Here is a 23351-nt window from a genome sequence, read left to right as displayed (position 1 = left end):
CAGCCCTTTGTTGGCTTTTTTTAAAAATTTTTAAACATTATACTTTAAGTTCTGGGATACATGTGTAGCATGTGCAGATTTGTTACATAAGTATACGCGTGCCATGGTGGTTTGCTGCACCCATCAACCATCATCTACATTCGGTATTTCTCCTAATGCTATCCCACCCTTAATCCCACATCCCCCAACAGGCCCCAGTGTGTGATGCTCCCCTCCCTGTGTCCATGTGTTCTCATTGTTCAACTCCCATTTATGAGTGAGAACATGCGGTGTTTGGTTTTCTGTTCTTGTGTTATTTTGCTGAGAATGATGGTTTCCAGCTTCAGGAATATATTATGAGCTAAGCTCTATATCCTGATAGAAGTCCTCTATTTGATGATTATTATATAGGGCAATTAACACTGGCCTAAGAGTCATAGCCAGTAGGAATGGTAGCTTGACAAATCAGAGTGCAAGGATGTGTTCCAGATACACAAAAAAGTTTAAGAAAATGATATTGCTCTTGAAGGAACTAAATGGACTCTTGCCTTTTGTATTTTAATGTAAAGGAAAACATTAAAATTAATGAATGATATCACTGCTGAAAGTAACACATTTTCCTGAACACAGATGACATAATATTATTGTCGTGAACTGGAGGTGTGTCTTCTTAGACATTTAGATCTGCTGTGTGAAATCTGCTGGTTATAGAGCGTCTTAGAGTCACAAGGCCCCAAGTTGAATCCTGGCAGTGCCATCTACTGACTTTTATGAGTAGTAAAATGGACCTAATAACTACCTTATATGACTGTTAAAAGATTACAACAAAATAATGTAAAATCATGCTTAGCATGGTGTTTGGGTCAATACATGTGAATATAACAATGTTAAAATGGAGTTTTTGATTGAGGTTATTAAGACACAATAGAAGTAGAAGTTCAAAGTCAGATCTCCATACTCACAGTTGACAAAGGAATTGGTCAAAGATAGGTATGGCTGTTCTTGGATCTCTCAGCTTGTTAATAATTTAGAAAGGATACAAGGAGTGGAATGGAGGAAGAATTTGCTGATGGCATTTTGCTTTTGAAGAAAGCTGTTGGCACACTATGGAACCCCCTTTATTCCTGGGCTAATGAATGGGACCCCAAACCTAGTGAGAGGGTGCTTCAGGAAGGCCACTCTGAGAGCTAACTCTCCACCCTCTGCAGTTGGGAGGATAGAACACAGGTGCCTGACTCAGGTTGAGAAGGTGAAAGCATCCTGTGGAAGTAGGATAGAGGTAACTTAGGGCACCAGCTTCTCTCTCCTCCTAGTAATTGTCAGGGCAAGGGATGTGTAAATATTATCTCAGGACCATAAGTGGGTCTCCTAATGAGCAAAAGTGCCATGGCACTGTAGATGGACAGTCTGGAGGAGTTTTGGGTTTTGCCCAGGAAAGCTTCTGCTGGAGGATAAGAGGAGACCTATAAGGGAGAATGTGGTGGGAGAACTGCCCAGGAAACAGAAGCTGAGAGGCAATTGGGTGCAGGCATCCTAGAAATGTCTGCATCTTAGCAGCTGCAGTGAGGGTTCCTTTAGAGACAGGGAAGCCCCAAAGGGCCTGCATGAGTGTCCCAGAGAGGAGTCAGCTTCAGTTTCTGCCAGCAGGCTCGGAGTGGGAAGTTGACTGAGTGTGGCCTTCTCCTTCTTTACTCCCTCTTCTCTCTGCTCTTAGTCTGGATGCTCAGAGCCCAGCTGGGAAGGAAAAGTGGAGGAGCAGCTATAGTAGAGAAACAGAGAGGAAGGCACCCATACCATGTTTCCACTGCTGCCTTTTGCCTGAAGCGGGCCAGACCGAGCTGGGGAAGGAGAGAAGATTCGACATCTGATCACGTAGCAGTAGAGTGTTTTGGTTATCATCTGGGACTGGGCATCTAGGCTTGAATTGAGACACTGTTTGTGATTTTAAGTGGAAGTAAGACTGTCTAATACCTAAAAGTGGGCAGAAAAACTTTGCTGGAGCTTTCATCTAGGGACAGGGGAGTGTTATTCTCACAGACTACAAATTAAAGACCACTGGGAAGAACATGAAAGGTGTAGGCTTTAATTATTAGTTGTGCTTTTCTGTGTATTGTTTGCATTATTGTGGTTGATGCTGTGTTAGAAAGGTTACCTTCAAATTCAGTGTTGTACACCTAAAGTCTTGATTTTTGTTTGATATTTCCTTGCATTTTTCTGGCTTATAGCAAATACTCCTATAGTGCAAGTCAACTCAGTTATTTAGGAGGGCATTTTGTAGCCAGGTTTCTCACAGTGCTTACTAGAAAACTTATTTGCTTAAAGTTAATATTCTACGTGTATGTTACTGAGAATTTTTATACCCAGGGTGAAAATTAGGTAACATTTACTTTAATAACCTTCCATACTGAAATAATACAGCATGAACCATAATATAGCAGTTTGGAGACTCGATTCCCCATTTGTTCATAAAGAGAAGCAAAACACTGACATTTTAAAAGTATTCTTTTAAATTGAAGTGTGATACACATAATAAAAGTACACAATTCATAAAAATTTAGTTTGGTGAGTACAAAGTGAATTCATCCAGGTAACCAGCACCAAGTTAAGAAACAGAATAAGGTTAACGTCCCAGTCACTGACCCCTCATATCAATAGTTTTGCTTGTTTTTGATATTTATTTATTTACTTATTTTAGAGACAGTCTTGTTCTGTTGCCCAGGCTGGACTTGAGTATAGTGGCACAATCGATCATAACTCTCTGCAGCCTTGACCTTCTGGGCTGAAGTGATCCTCCTGCCTCAGCTTCCCAAGTAGCTGTGACTACAGGTGTGTGCCACCAATCCTGGCTAATTTAAAAACAATTATTATTATTATTTTTTGTTGAGACAGGGTCTGCCACCATTGCGTAGACTGGCTTGCAGACCTAGCCTCAAGCAATTCTTCCATCTCAACCTCCCCAGATGCTGTGACTAAAGGCGTGAGCCACCACGCCCAGCTTAGCCTTGCTTTTTAATAATGAGACTATATATTTGAGTTTGCGAGATTCATTCACTTTGTTATGTGTAGCTGCAGTTTTTGTTTATTTACAAATTTGCATTCCACTAGATGACAATTTTTTAGCTAATTCAATTGTTTTTTAGTTGATAAACATTTGGATAGTTCTATTTATGTGTTGATGAACATTTGGATTGTTTCCAGGTTTGAACCCTTACAAATCAGGCAACTAAAAACATTCTTAAACACATGTTTTGGTGAATATATTGTGCACTTTTATTGATTTTATGCTTAGGAGTGGAATTACTGTATGACATGTATGACTGTGTTCAACTCTAGTAGATAAGGAAAAACAGTTTTCCAGAGTGGTGGTAAAAATTACTCTTCCATCAACTGTGTGTGGGAAGTCACTCCACTTCCTTGTTAATACTTTTTTCATTTTAGCTTTTCTGGTGTGTGCCAATTCCTGTTTTTGAAAAAAAAAAAAATTCCTAGCTATTGGCATGCCCTCAGTAAACCTCCATATGGGAAGTGGGATGTCTTCTTTCCTATCATAAGAGCATTGCACCAGCCTGACTAATCATTGAAGCATAAAGTTATATATTTAGCAAGGAATGCAGAATAGCATTCTGGTGATAAATGCTGCCCAATACTTATCAACAACTTTGCTAAGTGAAAGCATAGGTATAAAGTGCATTAGTCAATATTTTGAATGTAAGTGCAGAAATCCCTATTCAAAATAGTTTAACCAAAAAGGTAATTAATTGACTCTTGTAGCTGAAAAGCCAGGCTTGGCTGGCTCCTGGGATTAAGCTTCACTTTCCAAATCAAGACTGCCTCCCACTGGGCTGCTTCTCTTCTCAGGCAAGCTTGCTTCCTGTCTGGAGGCCAGGATTCTGTCAATAGCTCCAAACTCCCATCAGTAAACCAAAACCAAAACAACAGCCACAGCAACAAAACTCTTCCTGTCTTTCTGGAACTATTAAGTCCCGGAATTGGGGTTCCTTGGTTCTTATTGCACTAATTATGTCTTCTTCGGCTCCAGGTGGCTACCAGGTCCCTCTGGACCACACGCTTTCAGAGAAACAACAATTCTCTGAGGAAAACTGGGGGTGCTGTTAACAGAAGAAGGGTCAATGGTAGGTGGGCGGCAACAGTAACAAAATAGCCACTGCAAGCCAGACTAGGTCAAAGTAACACGGTTTAGTTATTCCTGTAGGTCCTACAGGACTTACCCTTGGATGAAGCAATACTGCTAGAACGTTGCATGTGTGGACTGCATCATTTTAGGCTCTGTGGAATTGCTTTTATTGAACTGTGTTAGGGCATTCTGTTACCAGTCTGCATTGAGGTACAATATAATGAACAGTCCTGTGGAATTTCATGCATTATTGTAAGACGGTATTGAGCACACTGTTTATTTCCAAAGCCACATTATAGGATTTCATGGGAGAAATTTCTCCCTGGTCTCTGCACCAGGAAGAGTCAAACTGTTTCTAAAAACCTTTCATGATTTTATCTTATGGATACTGTGATTCCTCAAAATGGTAAGGTGTCCTTCTTTGCATTGCTAGAGTGATAGAGTCAATTTTATGGCTTGTTTTAATCAAGTATACTAGGCTTTGAAGCATGGATTCTTTTAGTGCTAGCCTCACCCCTTTATTTTTCTATTTCCTTCAGTATTGTTTCCCAGTTCTCACACTCTCTCTTTTGTTCTATATCCTTTGTAAACTTTCTTAAATCTTTTCTGAGACAAAGTTGAGAAACACATATAATTTTATATAGATTTCATTTTATGCATTGAAAATGTCACCACAAAGTAAATAAATCTGCTTGGTTTTAGCAAGAAGTTTATTAACAGGAATTATTTTGGGTTCCAGTTTTAGATGGAGCAGTTGTAAAACACTACAGAATTAAAAGACTGGATGAAGGGGGATTTTTTCTCACGCGAAGAAGAATCTTTTCAACACTGAACGAATTTGTGAGCCACTACACCAAGACAAGTGACGGCCTGTGTGTCAAGCTGGGGAAACCATGCTTAAAGGTGAAAATGCTTTCAAGCTGTGTTTTTTTATTGAAGTTAACTTTTTTCCTTCAGATATCTGAGTATTTTTCATGGAATATCAGTTCAGGAAAAAAATTGTCATTTTATTACCTCAGGCGGGTATAGGCAAACCATGGCCTATGAGCTCACACTGACGTATGCTTGTTTTTGTAAATAAGTTTTATTTGCACAGATGCTCATTCATATATGAGTTTTCTTTGGATTCTTTTGTGCCATAACAGCAGAGTTTAGAAGGTGCAACGGAGACCATAGGGCAGGTGGTAAACTAGAATATGAGTTCTAGGAAGGCAGGGGTCTTGCTTGTTTTGTTTATAGAAAAGAACCTAGTCAATTCTTAAAACAATTTTACTTACTAAATGAATGAGTAACTAAATGAATGAACAAATAAAGAAATGAAAAAATGAGTTTGAAAAATATAAAACATTTAATTATGCAAAAATAGGTGATACATATAATAAAACTATAGCCAAAGAATTTGGGAAGGATTTGTGGGTGAGAGGGAACTTCAGCTGGGCCTTGAAACTGAGAGGATTTAGCTAGGCGAAGAGGTAGGGAGAAGTCATTCCAGACCTGAGTGAGGATGGCATTAGGTATGGGATCAGACAGGTAGACAACGAGGTGCCTGACTTCCCAAGATCTGGAAGATCAATTTGAAGAGTTAACAAATGCAGATTCTCCCACCATACTTTTTGTTTTTGAAGTAATTATAATACAGTTTACAATATTTTGTTTTAAGAAGTTTTATTTAAAAGTACCTAGACTATTATTTTCAACAAAATAATATTAAATCTACTTTTTTTTTTTTAACAATTGCTCTTATTATTCTATGAAACAGATCCAGGTCCCAGCTCCATTTGATTTGTCGTATAAAACCGTGGACCAATGGGAGATAGACCGCAACTCCATACAGCTTCTGAAGCGATTGGGATCTGGTCAGTTTGGCGAAGTATGGGAAGGTCTGTGGAACAATACCACTCCAGTAGCAGTGAAAACATTAAAACCAGGTGCGAGAACAATAAAGGTTAAATGGCATATGTTGATTTTTATGAGCTCAATTTAACACTGTAAATATCTAAGAGGTCATAGGGTGGCTAATACTGGCAGCAAGCAGGTGTTGTGGTCATTGTCTCTAGCCCAGGTGACCCCAACCTATGGATAAGGCATTAAAATATAAAAACAAGAACACACTTCCTGGTTCAGCTGAGTCTTAAAATATCGCTGATTGAAGAGTCTGACAACTCATCTCTTCTCTGAATTAGGATTCAGTCTTCCAATGTCCTTCTTCCCATTTTGTTCCTAGCCTTAGTTAAAAGATATTGACTTAGCTGAAAATATTTAAAAAATCAGAAGGAATCTTGATACTATTCAGGGAACAACTATTTTTAAAAGTATTAATTTTGTATGGTTAAAAGGCAAAATGGTCCATCTAAAGAAACTTGTATTTGAAAATGTAGGAACTTTTTTTCCCTTCCATCTTCCTTTTTCCTGTGATGGCAAGTAAAATTATACTGAAATCAGTATTTATTCAGCCAGGCTTTATTCCCTCCATTTTAAAGAGGGACTAAGTAACTTTCCAAATATTTCTGGTCATATGATCTTGAGCAAATTTTTGAACTCTATGCTTCAGTTTTGTCATTTGTAAAATAGAGATAATAATAAGGCCAACAGAGAAGATAAATTAGGTCATTAGTGGACATGCTTTGTATAGTGCCTGGTTCACAGTAAGTGATGGATAAAAACTATTATTATAATAAGGAAAAAGTCAGTAAATGGCATAGCTGGGATTTGAACTCACATTTATTACTATTGCCTCACGCTCCATGGAAGTGACAGTCTATAAAAGTGCAACATTGCTATAGTAGCCTCATATATACCTTTATAACAGAGGTAAGAATAATCAACATAGGCTAGATTGTAGTTTTCTGGGAGACCTGCATTATTTACCTAGCCCAGAATTCTTAGAGGTTTGGTAAACCTCCTGGTGGCAGAACTTGAGCTCTTGGGATTTGTTGGCTAGCAGCATAGGGTAACACCATGGTTCCCAAACTGTGTGCCAAGGCTCATGGGGGCACCATGGTGAATTCACAAGAGTGCTGTGGAATACTTAAAAGTTTTGAAGTCAACATCCTGAATATTGTACAAGCTGCTACCTTGAAGTAGTTCATAGTTTCAACTTTAGAACAACATTCCTTTTGTTGACATCATATCTTTGTGAAGCTGGGTTTTTGATAGTTGCTATGGTCAAATGCAAAATCCACACAAAAATCAATATGGACCAGAAAATGGGGGTAGCAGTGCTTCATCTGATTCTAAGATTGGAGAAATTGTGCAGTGTCCCAGGGATGCATATATCACTTTAGTAAGCACTTGTAGTTAAGAATTAAGTGAAGAATTATGTTTTCCTTTCAATTTACCTGTGTTACTTTTTCAAATGGCTATTAAATTGTTAAGATAAATACTTCTTTTTTTTTTAAGTATTTCTTTTTTTTTTTAATTTTTTTTTTATTATACTTTAAGTTTTAGGGTACATGTGCACATTGTGCAGGTTAGTTACATATGTATACATGTGCCATGCTGGTGCGCTGCACCCACTAACGTGTCATCTAGCATTAGGTATATCTCCCAATGCTATCCCTCCCCCCTCCCCCGACCCCACCACAGTCCCCAGAGTGTGATATTCCCCTTCCTGTGTCCATGTGATCTCATTGTTCAATTCCCACCTATGAGTGAGAATATGCGGTGTTTGGTTTTTTGTTCTTGCGATAGTTTACTGAGAATGATGGTTTCCAATTTCATCCATGTCCCTACAAAGGACATGAACTCATCATTTTTTATGGCTGCATAGTATTCCATGGTGTATATGTGCCACATTTTCTTAATCCAGTCTATCATTGTTGGACATTTGGGTTGGTTCCAAGTCTTTGCTATTGTGAATAATGCCGCAATAAACATACGTGTGCATGTGTCTTTATAGCAGCATGATTTATAGTCATTTGGGTATATACCCAGTAATGGGATGGCTGGGTCAAATGGTATTTCTAGTTCTAGATCCCTGAGGAATCGCCACACTGACTTCCACAATGGTTGAACTAGTTTACAGTCCCACCAACAGTGTAAAAGTGTTCCTATTTCTCCACATCCTCTCCAGCACCTGTTGTTTCCTGACTTTTTAATGATTGCCATTCTAACTGGTGTGAGATGATATCTCATAGTGGTTTTGATTTGCATTTCTCTGATGGCCAGTGATGATGAGCATTTTTTCATGTGTTTTTTGGCTGCATAAATGTCTTCTTTTGAGAAGTGTCTGTTCATGTCCTTCGCCCACTTTTTGATGGGGTTGTTTGTTTTCTTCTTGTAAATTTGTTTGAGTTCATTATAGATTCTGGATATTAGCCCTTTGTCAGATGAGTAGGTTGCGAAAATTTTCTCCCATGTTGTAGGTTGCCTGTTCACTCTGATGGTAGTTTCTTTTGCTGTGCAGAAGCTCTTTAGTTTAATTAGATCCCATTTGTCAATTTTGGCTTTTGTTGCCATTGCTTTTGATGTTTTGGACATGAAGTCCTTGCCCACGCCTATGTCCTGAATGGTAATGCCTAGGTTTTCTTCTAGGGTTTTTATGGTTTTAGGTCTAGCGTTTAAATCTTTAATCCATCTTGAATTGATTTTTGTATAAGGTGTAAGGAAGGGATCCAGTTTCAGCTTTCTACATATGGCTAGCCAGTTTTCCCAGCACCATTTATTAAATAGGGAATCCTTTCCCCATTGCTTGTTTTTCTCAGGTTTGTCAAAGATCAGATAGTTGTAGATATGCGGCATTATTTCTGAGGGCTCTGTTCTGTTCCATTGATCTATATCTCTGTTTTGGTACCAGTACCATGCTGTTTTGGTTACTGTAGCCTTGTAGTATAGTTTGAAGTCAGGTAGTGTGATGCCTCCAGCTTTGTTCTTTTGGCTTAGGATTGACTTGGTGATGCGGGCTCTTTTTTGGTTCCATATGAACTTTAAAGTAGTTTTTTCCAATTCTGTGAAGAAAGTCATTGGTAGCTTGATGGGGATGGCATTGAATCTGTAAATTACCTTGGGCAGTATGGCCATTTTCACGATATTGATTCTTCCTACCCATGAGCATGGAATGTTCTTCCATTTGTTTGTGTCCTCTTTTATTTCCTTGAGCAGTGGTTTGTAGTTCTCCTTGAAGAGGTCCTTCACATCCCTTGTAAGTTGGATTCCTAGGTATTTTATTCTCTTTGAAGCAATTGTGAATGGGAGTTCACTCATGATTTGGCTCTCTGCTTGTCTGTTGTTGGTGTATAAGAATGCTTGTGATTTTTGTACATTGATTTTGTATCCTGAGACTTTGCTGAAGTTGCTTATCAGCTTAAGGAGATTTTGGGCTGAGACAATGGGGTTTTCTAGATAAACAATCATGTCGTCTGCAAACAGGGACAATTTGACTTCCTCTTTTCCTAATTGAATACCCTTTATTTCCTTCTCCTGCCTGATTGCCCTGGCCAGAACTTCCAACACTATGTTGAATAGGAGTGGTGAGAGAGGGCATCCCTGTCTTGTGCCAGTTTTCAAAGGTAATGCTTCCAGTTTTTGCCCATTCAGTATGATATTGGCTGTGGGTTTGTCATAGATAGCTCTTATTATTTTGAAATACGTCCCATCAATACCTAATTTATTGAGAGTTTTTAGCATGAAGGGTTGTTGAATTTTGTCAAAGGCTTTTTCTGCATCTATTGAGATAATCATGTGGTTTTTGTCTTTGGCTCTGTTTATATGCTGGATTACATTTATTGATTTGCGTATATTGAACCAGCCTTGCATCCCAGGGATGAAGCCCACTTGATCATGGTGGATAAGCTTTTTGATGTGCTGCTGGATTCGGTTTGCCAGTATTTTATTGAGGATTTTTGCATCAATATTCATCAAGGATATTGGTCTAAAATTCTCTTTTTTGGTTGTGTCTCTGCCTGGCTTTGGTATCAGAATGATGCTGGCCTCATAAAATGAGTTAGGGAGGATTCCCTCTTTTTCTATTGATTGGAATAGTTTCAGAAGGAATGGTACCAGTTCCTCCTTGTACCTCTGGTAGAATTCGGCTGTGAATCCATCTGGTCCTGGACTCTTTTTGGTTGGTAAACTATTGATTATTGCCACAATTTCAGAGCCTGTTATTGGTCTATTCAGAGATTCAACTTCTTCCTGGTTTAGTCTTGGGAGAGTGTATGTGTTGAGGAATTTATCCATTTCTTCTAGATTTTCTAGTTTATTTGCGTAGAGGTGTTTGTAGTATTCTCTGATGGTAGTTTGTATTTCTGTGGGATCGGTGGTGATATCCCCTTTATCATTTTTTATTGTGTCTATTTGATTCTTCTCTCTTTTTTTCTTTATTAGTCTTGCTAGCGGTCTATCAATTTTGTTGATCCTTTCAAAGAACCAGCTCCTGGATTCATTGATTTTTTGAAGGTTTTTTTGTGTCTCTATCTCCTTCAGTTCTGCTCTGATTTTAGTTATTTCTTGCCTTCTGCTAGCTTTTGAATGTGTTTGCTCTTGCTTTTCTAGTTCTTTTAATTGTGATGTTAGGGTGTCAATTTTGGATCTTTCCTGCTTTCTCTTGTGGGCATTTAGTGCTATAAATTTCCCTCTACACACTGCTTTGAATGCGTCCCAGAGATTCTGGTATGTGGTGTCTTTGTTCTCGTTGGTTTCAAAGAACATCTTTATTTCTGCCTTCATTTCGTTATGTACCCAGTAGTCATTCAGGAGCAGGTTGTTCAGTTTCCATGTAGTTGAGCGGCTTTGAGTGAGATTCTTAATCCTGAGTTCTAGTTTGATTGCACTGTGGTCTGAGAGATAGTTTGTTATAATTTCTGTTCTTTTACATTTGCTGAGGAGAGCTTTACTTCCAACTATGTGGTCAATTTTGGAATAGGTGTGGTGTGGTGCTGAAAAAAATGTATATTCTGTTGATTTGGGGTGGAGAGTTCTGTAGATGTCTATTAGGTCCGCTTGGTGCAGAGCTGAGTTCAATTCCTGGGTATCCTTGTTGACTTTCTGTCTCATGGATCTGTCTAATGTTGACAGTGGGGTGTTAAAGTCTCCCATTATTAATGTGTGGGAGTCTAAGTCTCTTTGTAGGTCACTCAGGACTTGCTTTATGAATCTGGGTGCTCCTGTATTGGGTGCATAAATATTTAGGATAGTTAGCCTCTCTTGTTGAATTGATCCCTTTACCATTATGTAATGGCCTTCTTTGTCTCTTTTGATCTTTGTTGGTTTAAAGTCTGTTTTATCAGAGACTAGGATTGCAACCCCTGCCTTTTTTTGTTTTCCATTGGCTTGGTAGATCTTCCTCCATCCTTTTATTTTGAGCCTATGTGTGTCTCTGCACGTGAGATGGGTTTCCTGAATACAGCACACTGATGGGTCTTGACTTTTTATCCAACTTGCCAGTCTGTGTCTTTTAATTGCAGAATTTACTCCATTTATATTTAAAGTTAATATTGTTATGTGTGAATTTGATCCTGTCATTATGATGTTAGCTGGTGATTTTGCTCGTTAGTTGATGCAGTTTCTTCCTAGTCTCGATGGTCTTTACATTTTGGCATGATTTTGCAGCGGCTGGTACCGGTTGTTCCTTTCCATGTTTAGCGCTTCCTTCAGGAGCTCTTTTAGGGCAGGCCTGGTGGTGACAAAATCTCTCAGCATTTGCTTGTCTATAAAGTATTTTATTTCTCCTTCACTTATGAAGCTTAGTTTGGCTGGATATGAAATTCTGGGTTGAAAATTCTTTTCTTTAAGAATGTTGAATATTGGCCCCCAGTCTCTTCTGGCTTGTAGGGTTTCTGCCGAGAGATCCGCTGTTAGTCTGATGGGCTTTCCTTTGAGGGTAACCCGACCTTTCTCTCTGGCTGCCCTTCACATTTTTTCCTTCATTTCAACTTTGGTGAATCTGACAATTATGTGTCTTGGAGTTGCTCTTCTCGAGGAGTATCTTTGTGGCGTTCTCTGTATTTCCTGAATCTGAACGTTGGCCTGCCTTGCTAGATTGGGGAAGTTCTCCTGGATAATATCCTGCAGAGTGTTTTCCAACTTGGTTCCATTCTCCACATCACTTTTAGGTACACCAATCAGACGTAGATTTGGTCTTTTCACATAGTCCCATATTTCTTGGAGGCTTTGCTCATTTCTTTTTATTCTTTTTTCTCTAAACTTCCCTTCTTGCTTCATTTCATTCATTTCATCTTCCATTGCTGATACCCTTTCTTCCAGTTGATCGCATCGGCTTCTGAGGCTTCTGCATTCTTCACGTAGTTCTCGAGCCTTGGTTTTCAGCTCCATCAGCTCCTTTAAGCACTTCTCTGTATTGGTTATTCTAGTTATACATTCTTCTAAATTTTTTTCAAAGTTTTCAACTTCTTTGCCTTTGGTTTGAATGTCCTCCCGTAGCTCAGAGTAATTTGATCGTCTGAAGCCTTCTTCTCTCAGCTCGTCAAAATCATTCTCCATCCAGCTTTGTTCCGTTGCTGGTGAGGAACTGCGTTCCTTTGGAGGAGGAGAGGCGCTCTGCGTTTTAGAGTTTCCAGTTTTTCTGTTCTGTTTTTTCCCCATCTTTGTGGTTTTATCTACTTTTGGTCTTTGATGATGGTGATGTACAGATGGGTTTTCGGTGTAGATGTCCTTTCTGGTTGTTAGTTTTCCTTCTAACAGACAGGACCCTCAGCTGCAGGTCTGTTGGAATACCCTGCCGTGTGAGGTGTCAGTGTGCCCCTGCTGGGGGGTGCCTCCCAGTTAGGCTGCTCGGTGGTCAGGGGTCAGGGACCCACTTGAGGAGGCAGTCTGCCCGTTCTCAGATCTCCAGCTGCGTGCTGGGAGAACCACTGCTCTCTTCAAAGCTGTCAGACAGGGACACTTAAGTCTGCAGAGGTTACTGCTGTCTTTTTGTTTGTCTGTGCCCTGCCCCCAGAGGTGGAGCCTACAGAGGCAGGCAGGCCTCCTTGAGCTGTGGTGGGCTCCACCCAGTTCGAGCTTCCGGGCTGCTTTGTTTACCTAAGCAAGCCTGGGCAATGGCGGGCGCCCTTCCCCCAGCCTCGCTGCCGCCTTGCAGTTTGATCTCAGACTGCTGTGCTAGCAATCAGCGAGATTCCGTGGGCGTAGGACCCTCTGAGCCAGGTGTGGGATATAGTCTAGTGGTGCGCCGTTTTTTAAGCCGGTCTGAAAAGCGCAATATTCGGGTGGGAGTGACCCGATTTTCCAGGTGCGTCCGTCACCCCTTTCTTTGACTCGGAAAGGGAACTCCCTGACCCCTTGCGCTTCCCAGGTGAGGCAATGCCTCGCCCTGCTTCGGCTCGCGCACGGTGCGCGCACACACTGGCCTGCGCCCACTGTCTGGCACTCCCTAGTGAGATGAACCCGGTACCTCAGATGGAAATGCAGAAATCACCCGTCTTCTGCGTCGCTCACGCTGGGAGCTGTAGACAGGAGCTGTTCCTATTCGGCCATCTTGGCTCCTCCCCTAGATAAATACTTCTTAACTTGTTTGGATCTAACCCAGTAATCAAAATAACTGTTAGTTTTTTTTTTTATTTTCACTTAGAGACATCATGAAAAAAGTTATGGAGACACTAAGGGTTCCACGAACTGAAAACACTGGGATCCTCTGGTGTAACAAGTGAATAGTGTCAAATTCGATATAAGATAAATCTGTGTTTAAACCTGGCTCTGCCCTCTGTGACTTCAGACAATTTTTAACCTTTTGGAATCTTCTCATCTGGAAGTGGGAATCATAATAGTTCCTAATTTCTAGGGTTTTATGAGGACAAATGGAGTCAATATACGTAAAGTATATGCAGCAAGTTCTTAATAAATGTTAGCCTCCATGGGGCTGCTGACAGATGTGTCCACTGAAGTGCAAATTTACTAGTGCAGGAATTCAGTTTCAGCATTTTCATCTGGCAGATGAAGCAAGAGACAGGCACTTTAAAGTGGCCAGATGCTATGTGAGTGCTCCAGGTGAGGACATTCTATTCTAGCACCTGAGATTTTCACAATCACTGTGTATATGCTTTTAAACCCTAATCTTGTTAATAAATGGTGGCTGAACTTTATTGTCCAATCTAATAATTCTTTTCTAAGAAGAGGCAGCTAGCTAGCCTTCCTAACGTTGTTCTCTAAGGAAGCCCTTTGGGAAGTCAAAAGACAACAAAAAAGTCAGATTTCTCATGTTAAAAAAAAACCACGATAGTTTTCTCTCCAACAGGAATAATTATTATTGATTTACAGTGTAATAGCCACAAACAGCTTTAGTGATTGGTTAAATGTCTTCACTTCACTGGGGCCATTAATCAATATGAGCGGCTATTTATTGCTGAGCAGGCTACTACGCAATAAAGATGAGCCTGAAATGAACTCCCACAGTAGCTTTGACAGGCAAAAATTAATATTTAATGTTACATTACTAGCTGAGTTGAGATTGGGTTTCCTTTACTCTGCAGCTGGGGAGCTATAACCAGCATGGCCATGAAGGAGTGCTCTGAAACAGTCTTCACCTGCAGAGGCTTCTGACCTACTGTGATTTCAGTTCTTGTGCATAGTCTGATTTGGGAATGAGTTTGAGTGTCCTGTATTGCTTGAATCTGATAGCCACACAACATAGAAATTTCATTAACATAAATATATATTGTATATATAATTTTCTTTTTCCTTTCTCTTTCTTTCTTTCTTTCTTTTTCTTTCTTTCTTTCTTTCTTTTTCTTTCTTTCTCTCTCTCCTTCCCCCCCCTCTTTCTTTCTTTCTTTCTTTCTTTCTTTCTTTCTTTCTTTCTTTCTTTCTTTCTTTCTTTCTTCTTTCTTTCTTTCTTTCTTTCTTTCTTTCTTTCTTTCTTTCTTTCTTTCTTTCTTTCTTTTCTTTCTTTCCTTTTTTGAGACAGAGTCTCACTCTATTTCCCAGGCTGGAGTGCAATGGTGTGATCTCAGCTCACTGTAACCTCCACCTCCTGGGTTCAAGTGATTCTTCTGCCTCAGCCTCCCGAGTAGCTGGGATTACAGGCACCTGACACCATGCCTGGCTAATTTTTATATTTTTAGTAGAGACATGGTTTCACCATGTTGGCCAGGCTGGTCTCTTAACTCCTGACCTCAAGTTATCCGCCTGCCTTGGCCTCCCAAAGTTCTGGGATCACAGGCTTGAGCCACCATGCCCAGCCTAATTTTCTGTATGGTTATCATAATTACTGCTATCATTGGAAGCTTCTTTTTTGGGGGGGGTGGTAGTGGGGGGATTCCCCACTATATTATATTTGACCATAGGCCAAACTAGTTGTAACAATTAAGAACAAAGTCCCTTATTATGATTTAGGTGTCTCTTATTCTCAGCTCCATTTTGTGACTATGATTCCAAATTTTAATCCTATTTGACTGTGTGGAGTAAACCAGTGGTAGAGATGGAATTGATGGAGCTCAGAAACATGTAACGGAAAAGAGAATCGGCCATTTTCTCCTATTCTCTCTCTTTAAGTCCTTGTCCTTTTTCTTCCTTAGCCTGTGAAATATACTTACAGCTGGTCTGTTTGGTTTTTCCAAGACTATGCATATCAATGATAATATAAATAATGATCAACAGTCATTGAATACATACGTGCAGGCATTGCTATTATCTTGGTAATGATCTTACAATGTCAGTAAATTATTAGGCATGTTTTACAGATGAAGAAACTGAAGTTTAGAGAGGTTTGATAACTTGCTCAAGATCACACAGGGCACTAGTGGCAGAGAGTTGAGATTTGTCTAGAATGCAGAGTCTGATTAGTCCAGTTCTGAACTTCTGGGTTCTCAAAGGGGAGACTGCTCAAATGTTTTATGTGAAATGATGTGCAGGTCACATGTAACTAACTCAACTTCACATTAATAAACAAGTCATAGTTTTGCCTTAGAATGTCAAAGCTTATCCATGTCTGGGTTTAAATATCAGTTGTAAAGTCTTCAACATCGAGAGGATGATGAATGTAGTAGTCTCTTTGAGCATCAATGGAAACCATATTTGCATTATTCATAGTGAATACTAAGATGTGAAATGACAGTATTCCTTTAATTACAGTAATGCCTCTGAAACATCATATTCTAAAAGAAAAGATTTTAAAATTACTGATGAAATGTAAACTCCAGATAATCTTCCTCCTCTTAGATTTTATTTGATGTCAACTACTTGACACCTTGCATGATGAGTCAGAGTGGATCCATTAAAATACGATTTAATTGCAGACAAGTCTTCTAAATAGGCCTTAATATTGTCTCTCCTCCATTTGGCCATGCTATTAAGGCTCTGACTGTGGAAGCAGATAGTACAGGAGAAAATATTAAATATCAGTTTCGAGTTGAACATATAAAACATGTGAAAAAAACCCCATTAACTTTTGGGGATGGTCTTGGATGTTTTCCACTTGGTCTACACACTATGTTCCTACAGAATTAAAGACAAAAGTATGGCAGAATGTCACTGTTTTAGGATTTTTGTCCAGCTGTTCCCACAGTGGGCACCAAGGACAGGGCAGGTATCAGTCTCTGGTTGCAGTAATTAAATATTCAGTGACCTTCAGCGCTCGTGTTCATAGAATGTTTTCCTTTTGTGTTAAGATGCCTTGTTTTATCAGTTAGATTGTCAGTCTCTCCTTTTTCCTTCATTTTTCATGTAGATCTGAATCAACCTCTCTTCACCTACAGGTCATAACATATAAACCGTATACTCCTGATGCACCAACACATCCAGTTACTAGGTTGCTCTGGCTGAACTGATTCTCTTTTTGATAACTCTGAAGATTTGTGATACTGAGGCTCTTACTCTACTGAGAAGCAGGAGGCAATCTTGATGATTCCCACCAGGCTGCTGTGAGGATAGGAATGCCTCAATAACATAAAGTGATTTCTCCCTCTTCTTGTTTCAGGTTCAATGGATCCAAATGACTTCCTGAGGGAGGCACAGATAATGAAGAACCTAAGACATCCAAAGCTTATCCAGCTTTATGCTGTTTGCACTTTAGAAGATCCAATTTATATTATTACAGAGTTGATGAGACATGGAAGTCTGCAAGAATATCTCCAAAGTAAGCTAAAGACTTAATACAAGGAAAAAAAGAGGAATTTAATTTAGCTAGTCCCATAAGTGTCAATTTAGCAAGCCTTCTGTAACCGAAAGGATATTTACTATGTGTATGTCTGTGAGAATGAATGTCTTAACACTGAATGGCTCAACTACTATTTAATAGGTTATATATTGTATATTCAAAAGGTGGAAAATATTTATGCAGTGGAAGAGAAAATTATTCACAACAGATATATTAGGGTAATTGAATGTAACGTGGGAAATTAAAGAATGGATGTTTAGCATGATGCTTTGCATGATGCTTTATTTCCTACACTAATTGAACATTATCAGTTATGGACCAATATTTTCTATGGCACATAGAATTCGGGGACATGGAATACATTTGGGGAAAAAGGGAGGGAAGTATCCTATGTTTATTTTATTTGCTGGTATTTGACAACATTGTACTTGTTGCTGTTTAAAATACTTCCACTGCTAGGCAACATAAGAATTGTCAGACAAAAAAGCAGAAATATGCTATTACTTTATTTCTCTGTTTGCTTCCTGTAGTCAGAGAAGACTGAAGGGCATTATGAAATTTTGATGTTTATTACAAATGGATAATTTAGTAAACAACAATACAGTATAATGAGCATTAAAATGAGATGTTCAAAGAAGGTGAGATCAAGTATTGACAATAATTCGAGCTTGAAAAGGAGACTTCCATAATTTCTTGAAATGTCAGGGTGGAATGATAGAATGTTTAGAGGTAAAGGGAGGTGAGAATGATGAAACAAAGATTTCAGAAAGATAAGAATATCCTCTGATTTCAGGATGACTTATGAAGCTGGTAACATTAAGCTACAAAACAAGATAAGAATAACAAAGAACATAATAAGGCCTGTTGAATGCTGTTAAAAACAGAAATATACTCAGCTTCCTTGCAGAAAAATATTGAATTTAACATCATCAGAATATGTTACCCACCATAGAAAGATTAAACTCAGCTATTAAATAACCCCTTTTGCCTTATTCCCAGGACAAAGTGCAGAAGTGGTCTTGGGTCATAGCTAACAAAAAATGCTTTATAAAGGTCCTTAATAATATTCACATAATTACATCTAATGGCCTATTCCCCATCCTCAGATCTATCGACAGCATTTAATTCAATAGATGCTTTCTTTTCCTGGAAACATTTCCTTCATTTGGCTTTCAGGACACTTCACTCAATGGCATTTCCTCCTTCCTTTCTTGGTGGTTCTTTTCAACCTATGGGATTTCCTTCATTCCCAGACCCTTCAATATCTTGGAGTTCTCCAAGACTGTTCACAACGTCACTAGTTCCCTTATTAATTTCATCTAATCTCATTGTTTAATTTTTTATGTCCTGACAATTCTCCAAATTTTATTCCCCCTTTACTTGAGAATCATACCCAACTGCCTTCTTAACTTCTCCACTTGAATCTTGTATCAGTCTGCATAATGTAAATATGCTGCAATAACTAACAGTCTCCAAATCCTCGAGGGCTTAACACACATGTTTATTTCTTATCCATGCTACATTGCAAAATAGGTTGGCTGGTGGCTCAGTTCTTTTGATCACCCTGGCAGAGAAAGGGGATGAGACTAATCTCACCCTGATTCTTAAAGCTTCTGACCAGAAGTGACAGAAGTAATTCTGTTCCCTTTCCATTTGGACAAATCAAGTCAAAGAGGATAGGGAAGTACAATTCTCTAAAGTACTTGAAAGGAGGAAAAAAATCATTGTTTGTGAACAGCCCTAATTTCTACTATAGTAGAAATGTCTATTAGACATCTCAAGATGACATGCCCCAAACTGATCTCCCTGTATTCTCCCCAGTAATCTGCTACTCTTGCAGTCTTTCCTTCTTTGACCATAGCAACTCAGGCCTAATACCTTGGCATCATCTCTACTTTTCATGTCCCATCTCTAACCTGCTAGCAAAATCTCATTGGCTGGCCTTCAAAATATATAGAGGATTTTACCTCTCCTCAATGCTCCTACCCTGATCCAGGCTGCCACCTGAATTCTGCAGTAGCTCCCGGCTGGTCTTCATCTTCTGCTTCTTGTCTCCTTCAGTTTCTTCTTAACATAACAGCTAGAGAGATACAGTTAAAATGTAAATCAGAGCATGTGTAACTCATGAAGTCCTGCATGGCCTGGCTCTCTATTCCCTCTCGGATCTCATCTTCTACAACTTCTCCTTGCTCAGTCTTCGTCAGCCACACTAGCCCTCTTTACTATTTGTCCTACCATCCAGGCATGCTTTTGCCTCACTCGTTATTTCCTCTGCCTGAATTTTTTTGTTGTTCTGACATTTATCCACATGCTCACTTCTCATTTCCTCAAAATCTCTACTTACATGTTTCCATCTTGGTGAGTGTTTCACTGGTCACCCTCTGAATTTTAAAATTTAATCTCTTTCTACTGACTCTTAAAGTATTCCTCTTCCCTTGCTTTTTATTTTATCTTCTTGGCTGTTAAGCATCTTATACTGTGTATCTTATTTATTTGGCTTATTTTTAGTATCCTCTGAATATAACTCCACACAGGCAGATAGTGTTTTCTTTGTTTCAGAGTTAGAACAGTGTCTGGCACATAAGAAAGTATGGGCTAATTAGGTATTGAATAAATAGATTAAGTTGGGACCATCCTGAACCTAACAAGATTGGGACTTGGAGTCAAGCTTGTTTTGAGACTCTTGGTATTAGCTTGAAAAGATCAACTTGGTACATGGCTAACACCTTTGACATTGAGGATTTTTGTGGCTTGGTGATGTGGTTTACTTAGGGCTAAGTATGAACCCTATCAGCTTCAGGGTTAGGCCATTAGGGTCAAGTTTATCGGTGCCTTCATTTGTGAGGATGATGATTAGTAGCCAGGAGGAGTAATGAACAAATGCTCACTGCAGATAGCCCCTTCCCCAGTCAAGAGGGTTCACATTCAATAAAGTGGCCTTGGGCCGGGCGCGGTGGCTCACGCCTGTAATCCCAGCACTTTGGGAGGCCGAGGCGGGCGGATCACGAGGTCAGGAGATCGAGACCATCCCGGCTAAAACGGTGAAACCCCGTCTCTACTAAAAATACAAAAAATTAGCCGGGCGTAGTGGCGGGCGCCTGTAGTCCCAGCTACTTGGGAGGCTGAGGCAGGAGAATGGCGTGAACCCAGGAGGCGGAGCTTGCAGTGAGCCGAGATCCCGCCACTGCACTCCAGCCTGGGCGACAGAGCGAGACTCCGTCTCAAAAAAAAAAAAAAAAAAAAAAAAAAATGGCCTTAAAATGGATGTACCACTCTTAAGTAGCCCATCATGATAAATATTATTAAGATGAAAGATTCTTTTTTTTTCTTTTTTTAAAAAATTTTTTATTTTATTATTATTATACTTTAAGTTTTAGGGTACATGTGCACAATGTGCAGGTTAGTTACTTATGTATACATGTGCCATGCTGGTGTGCTGCATCCATTAACTCGTCATTTAGCGTTAGGTATATCTCCCAATGCTATCCCTCCCCCCTCCCCCCACCCCACCACAGTCCCCAGAGTGTGATGTTCCCCTTCTTGTGTCCATGTGTTCTCATTGTTCAATTCCCACCTATGAGTAAGAACATGCGGTGTTTGGTTTTTTGTCCTTGCGATGGTTTACTGAGAATGATGATTTCTAATTTCATCCATGTCCCTGCAAAGGACATGAACTCATCATTTTTTATGGCTGCATAGTATTCCATGGTGTATATGTGCCACATTTTCTTAATCCAGTCTATCATTGTTGGACATTTGGGTTGGTTCCAAGTCTTTGCTATTGTGAATAGTGCCGCAATAAACATACATGTGCATGTGTCTTTATAGCAGCATGATTTATAGTCCTTTGGGTATATACCCAGTAATGGGATGGCTGGGTCAAATGGTATTTCTAGTTCTAGATCCCTGAGGAATCACCACACTGACTTCCACAATGGTTGAACTAGTTTACAGTCCCACCAAGAGTGTAAAAGTGTTCCTATTTCTCCACATCCTCTCCAGCACCTGTTGTTTCCTGACTTTTTAATGATTGCCATTCTAACTGGTGTGAGATGGTATTTCATTGTGGTTTTGATTTGCATTTCTCTGATGGCCAGTGATGGTGCGCATTTTTTTAGACCTAAAACCATAAAAACCCTGGAAGAAAACCTAGGCATTACCATTCAGGACATAGGCATGGGCAACATGTCTAAAACACCAAAAGCAATGGCAACAAAAGACAAAATTGACAAATGGGATCTAATTAAACTAAAGAGCTTCTGCATAGCAAAAGAAACTACCATCAGAGTGAACAAGCAACCTACAAAATGGGAGAAAATTTTCGCAACCTACTCATCTGACAAAGGGCTAATATCCAGAATCTATAATGAACTCAAACAAATTTACAAGAAAAAAACAAACAACCCCACCAAAAAGTGGGCGAAGGACATGAACAGACACTTCTCAAAAGAAGACATTTATGCAGCCAAAAAACCTTGAGTAAAACATTACTCAAGATTCTTGAGTAATGGAATATAATTGAAAATATTTTCTTACTGCAAATGTAAATCATCATAGGTTTGTGAACTTTTACATCAGTTTTGACCTCTGTTGGTTGTATTAAAAGTATGTGTTGATGTTTACTTAGGCAGTACTGAGGCTACTGCACCCTTCAAAGTAGGAAATGTGTGTCACTCAATTTCCTCCAGTATTATGCCTGTCAGTGCAAACCTTTTTCTATCCATTGTAATAGGATTAGATGTCATATGTGATAGTTGAAATAACATACATATTTTTTCTATATAACCTTTTTTGTAGTTTCTCAGCTTAGCTGGATAATTTTTGTAATACATTTCTCCAAAATGAGAAAGATCTGTAAAAAAACTTTAGTATTGAGGGTAATTAATGACAGATAGATCTTATTACAATTTAAAGAGGATAAATATCTCCATTTTTAAAAAGTTTAGTTTGGCTTGTTTTTCCCCCAGTAAATACTTATAGAACATCTATTATAGGTCACACAACTTGTTACCTATTCCTTTGAGTAAAAGGAATTCCTATGAAATGGGGAAGAATAATTGCAATACTTACTTCATATAGTTGTTCAGAGTATTAAATTAGGTGATTGACTGGAAATAAACTATATGAGGTAGTGATAGGAGAGGATCATGTATATACTTTTTTTCTTTAAAAAACACTGTAGTACCTTGTGACAGGCAATTTCTAAGTCTTTTATAAATATTAACTTCATTCATTTTGTTTTCAATTTTTTTTATTTTTTAAGATTATACTTAAATTCTGGGATACAGGTGTAGAACATGCAGTTCTGTTACATAGGTATACACATGCAATGGTGCTTTGCTGCTCCCATCAACCTGTCATCTACATTAGGTATTTCTCCTAATGCTGTCCCTCCCTTTGCTCAACACCCCCTGACAGGCCCTGGTGTGTGATGTTCCCCTCCCTGTGCCCATGTGTTCTTACTGTTCAACTCTCACTTATGAGTGAGAACATGCAGTGTTTGGTTTTCTGTTCTTGTGTTAGTTTGCTGAGAATGATGGTTTCCAGCTTCATCCATGTTCCTGCAAAGGACATGAACTCATTCCTTTTTATGGCTGCATAGTGTTCCATGGTGTATATGTGCCACATTTTCTTTATCCAGTCCAACATTGATGGGCATCTGGGTTGGTTCCAAGTCTTTGCTATTGTGAATAGTGCCACAATAAACATGCATGTGCATGTGTCTTTATAGTAGAATGATTTATAATCCTTTGGGTATATACCCAGCAATGGGATTGCTGGGTCAAATGGTATTTTCTAGTTCTAGATCCTTGAGGAATCGCCACACTGTCCTCCACAATGGTTGAACTAATTTACACTCCCACCAACAGTGTAAAAGCATTCCTCTTTCTCCACATCCTCTCCAGCATCTGTTGTTTCCTGACTTTTTAATGATCCCATTCTAACTGACATGACATGCTATCTCATTGTGGTTTTGGTTTGGATTTCTCTAGTGATGATGAGCTTTTTTTCATATATTTGTTGACTGCATGAATGTCTTCTTTTGAAAAGTGTCTGTTCATATCCTTTGCCCACTTTTTGATGGTTTTTATTTCTTGTAAATTTGTTTAAGTTCCCTGTAGATTCTTGGTATTAGCCCTTTGTCAGATGGATAGATTGCAAAAATTTTCTCCCATTCTGAATGTTCCC

At 39.2% G+C, this 23351-nt stretch overlaps 1 protein-coding gene across 9 annotated transcripts in view; it reads left to right on the top strand.

Annotated features, from left to right (window-relative positions):
• The window catches only part of FRK (fyn related Src family tyrosine kinase), a 169577-nt gene that overhangs the window by 127133 nt on the left and 19093 nt on the right, over positions 1–23351 (top strand). For all 9 annotated transcript variants that reach the window (XM_011535656.3, XM_011535655.3, XM_011535654.3 and 6 more), the window contains 3 exons: positions 4854–5017; positions 5874–6042; positions 16983–17141. In XM_011535656.3, coding sequence (XP_011533958.1) covers positions 4854–5017; positions 5874–6042; positions 16983–17141 — 492 coding nt within the window. The remainder of the gene's footprint in view (positions 1–4853; positions 5018–5873; positions 6043–16982; positions 17142–23351) is intronic.

Source organism: Homo sapiens, chromosome 6, assembly GCF_000001405.40.
Source record: "Homo sapiens chromosome 6, GRCh38.p14 Primary Assembly".
Lineage (NCBI taxonomy): Eukaryota > Metazoa > Chordata > Mammalia > Primates > Hominidae > Homo > Homo sapiens.
The sequence above is the reverse complement of the archived record's forward strand: the minus strand, read 5'-3'. Positions and strand labels throughout refer to the sequence as shown.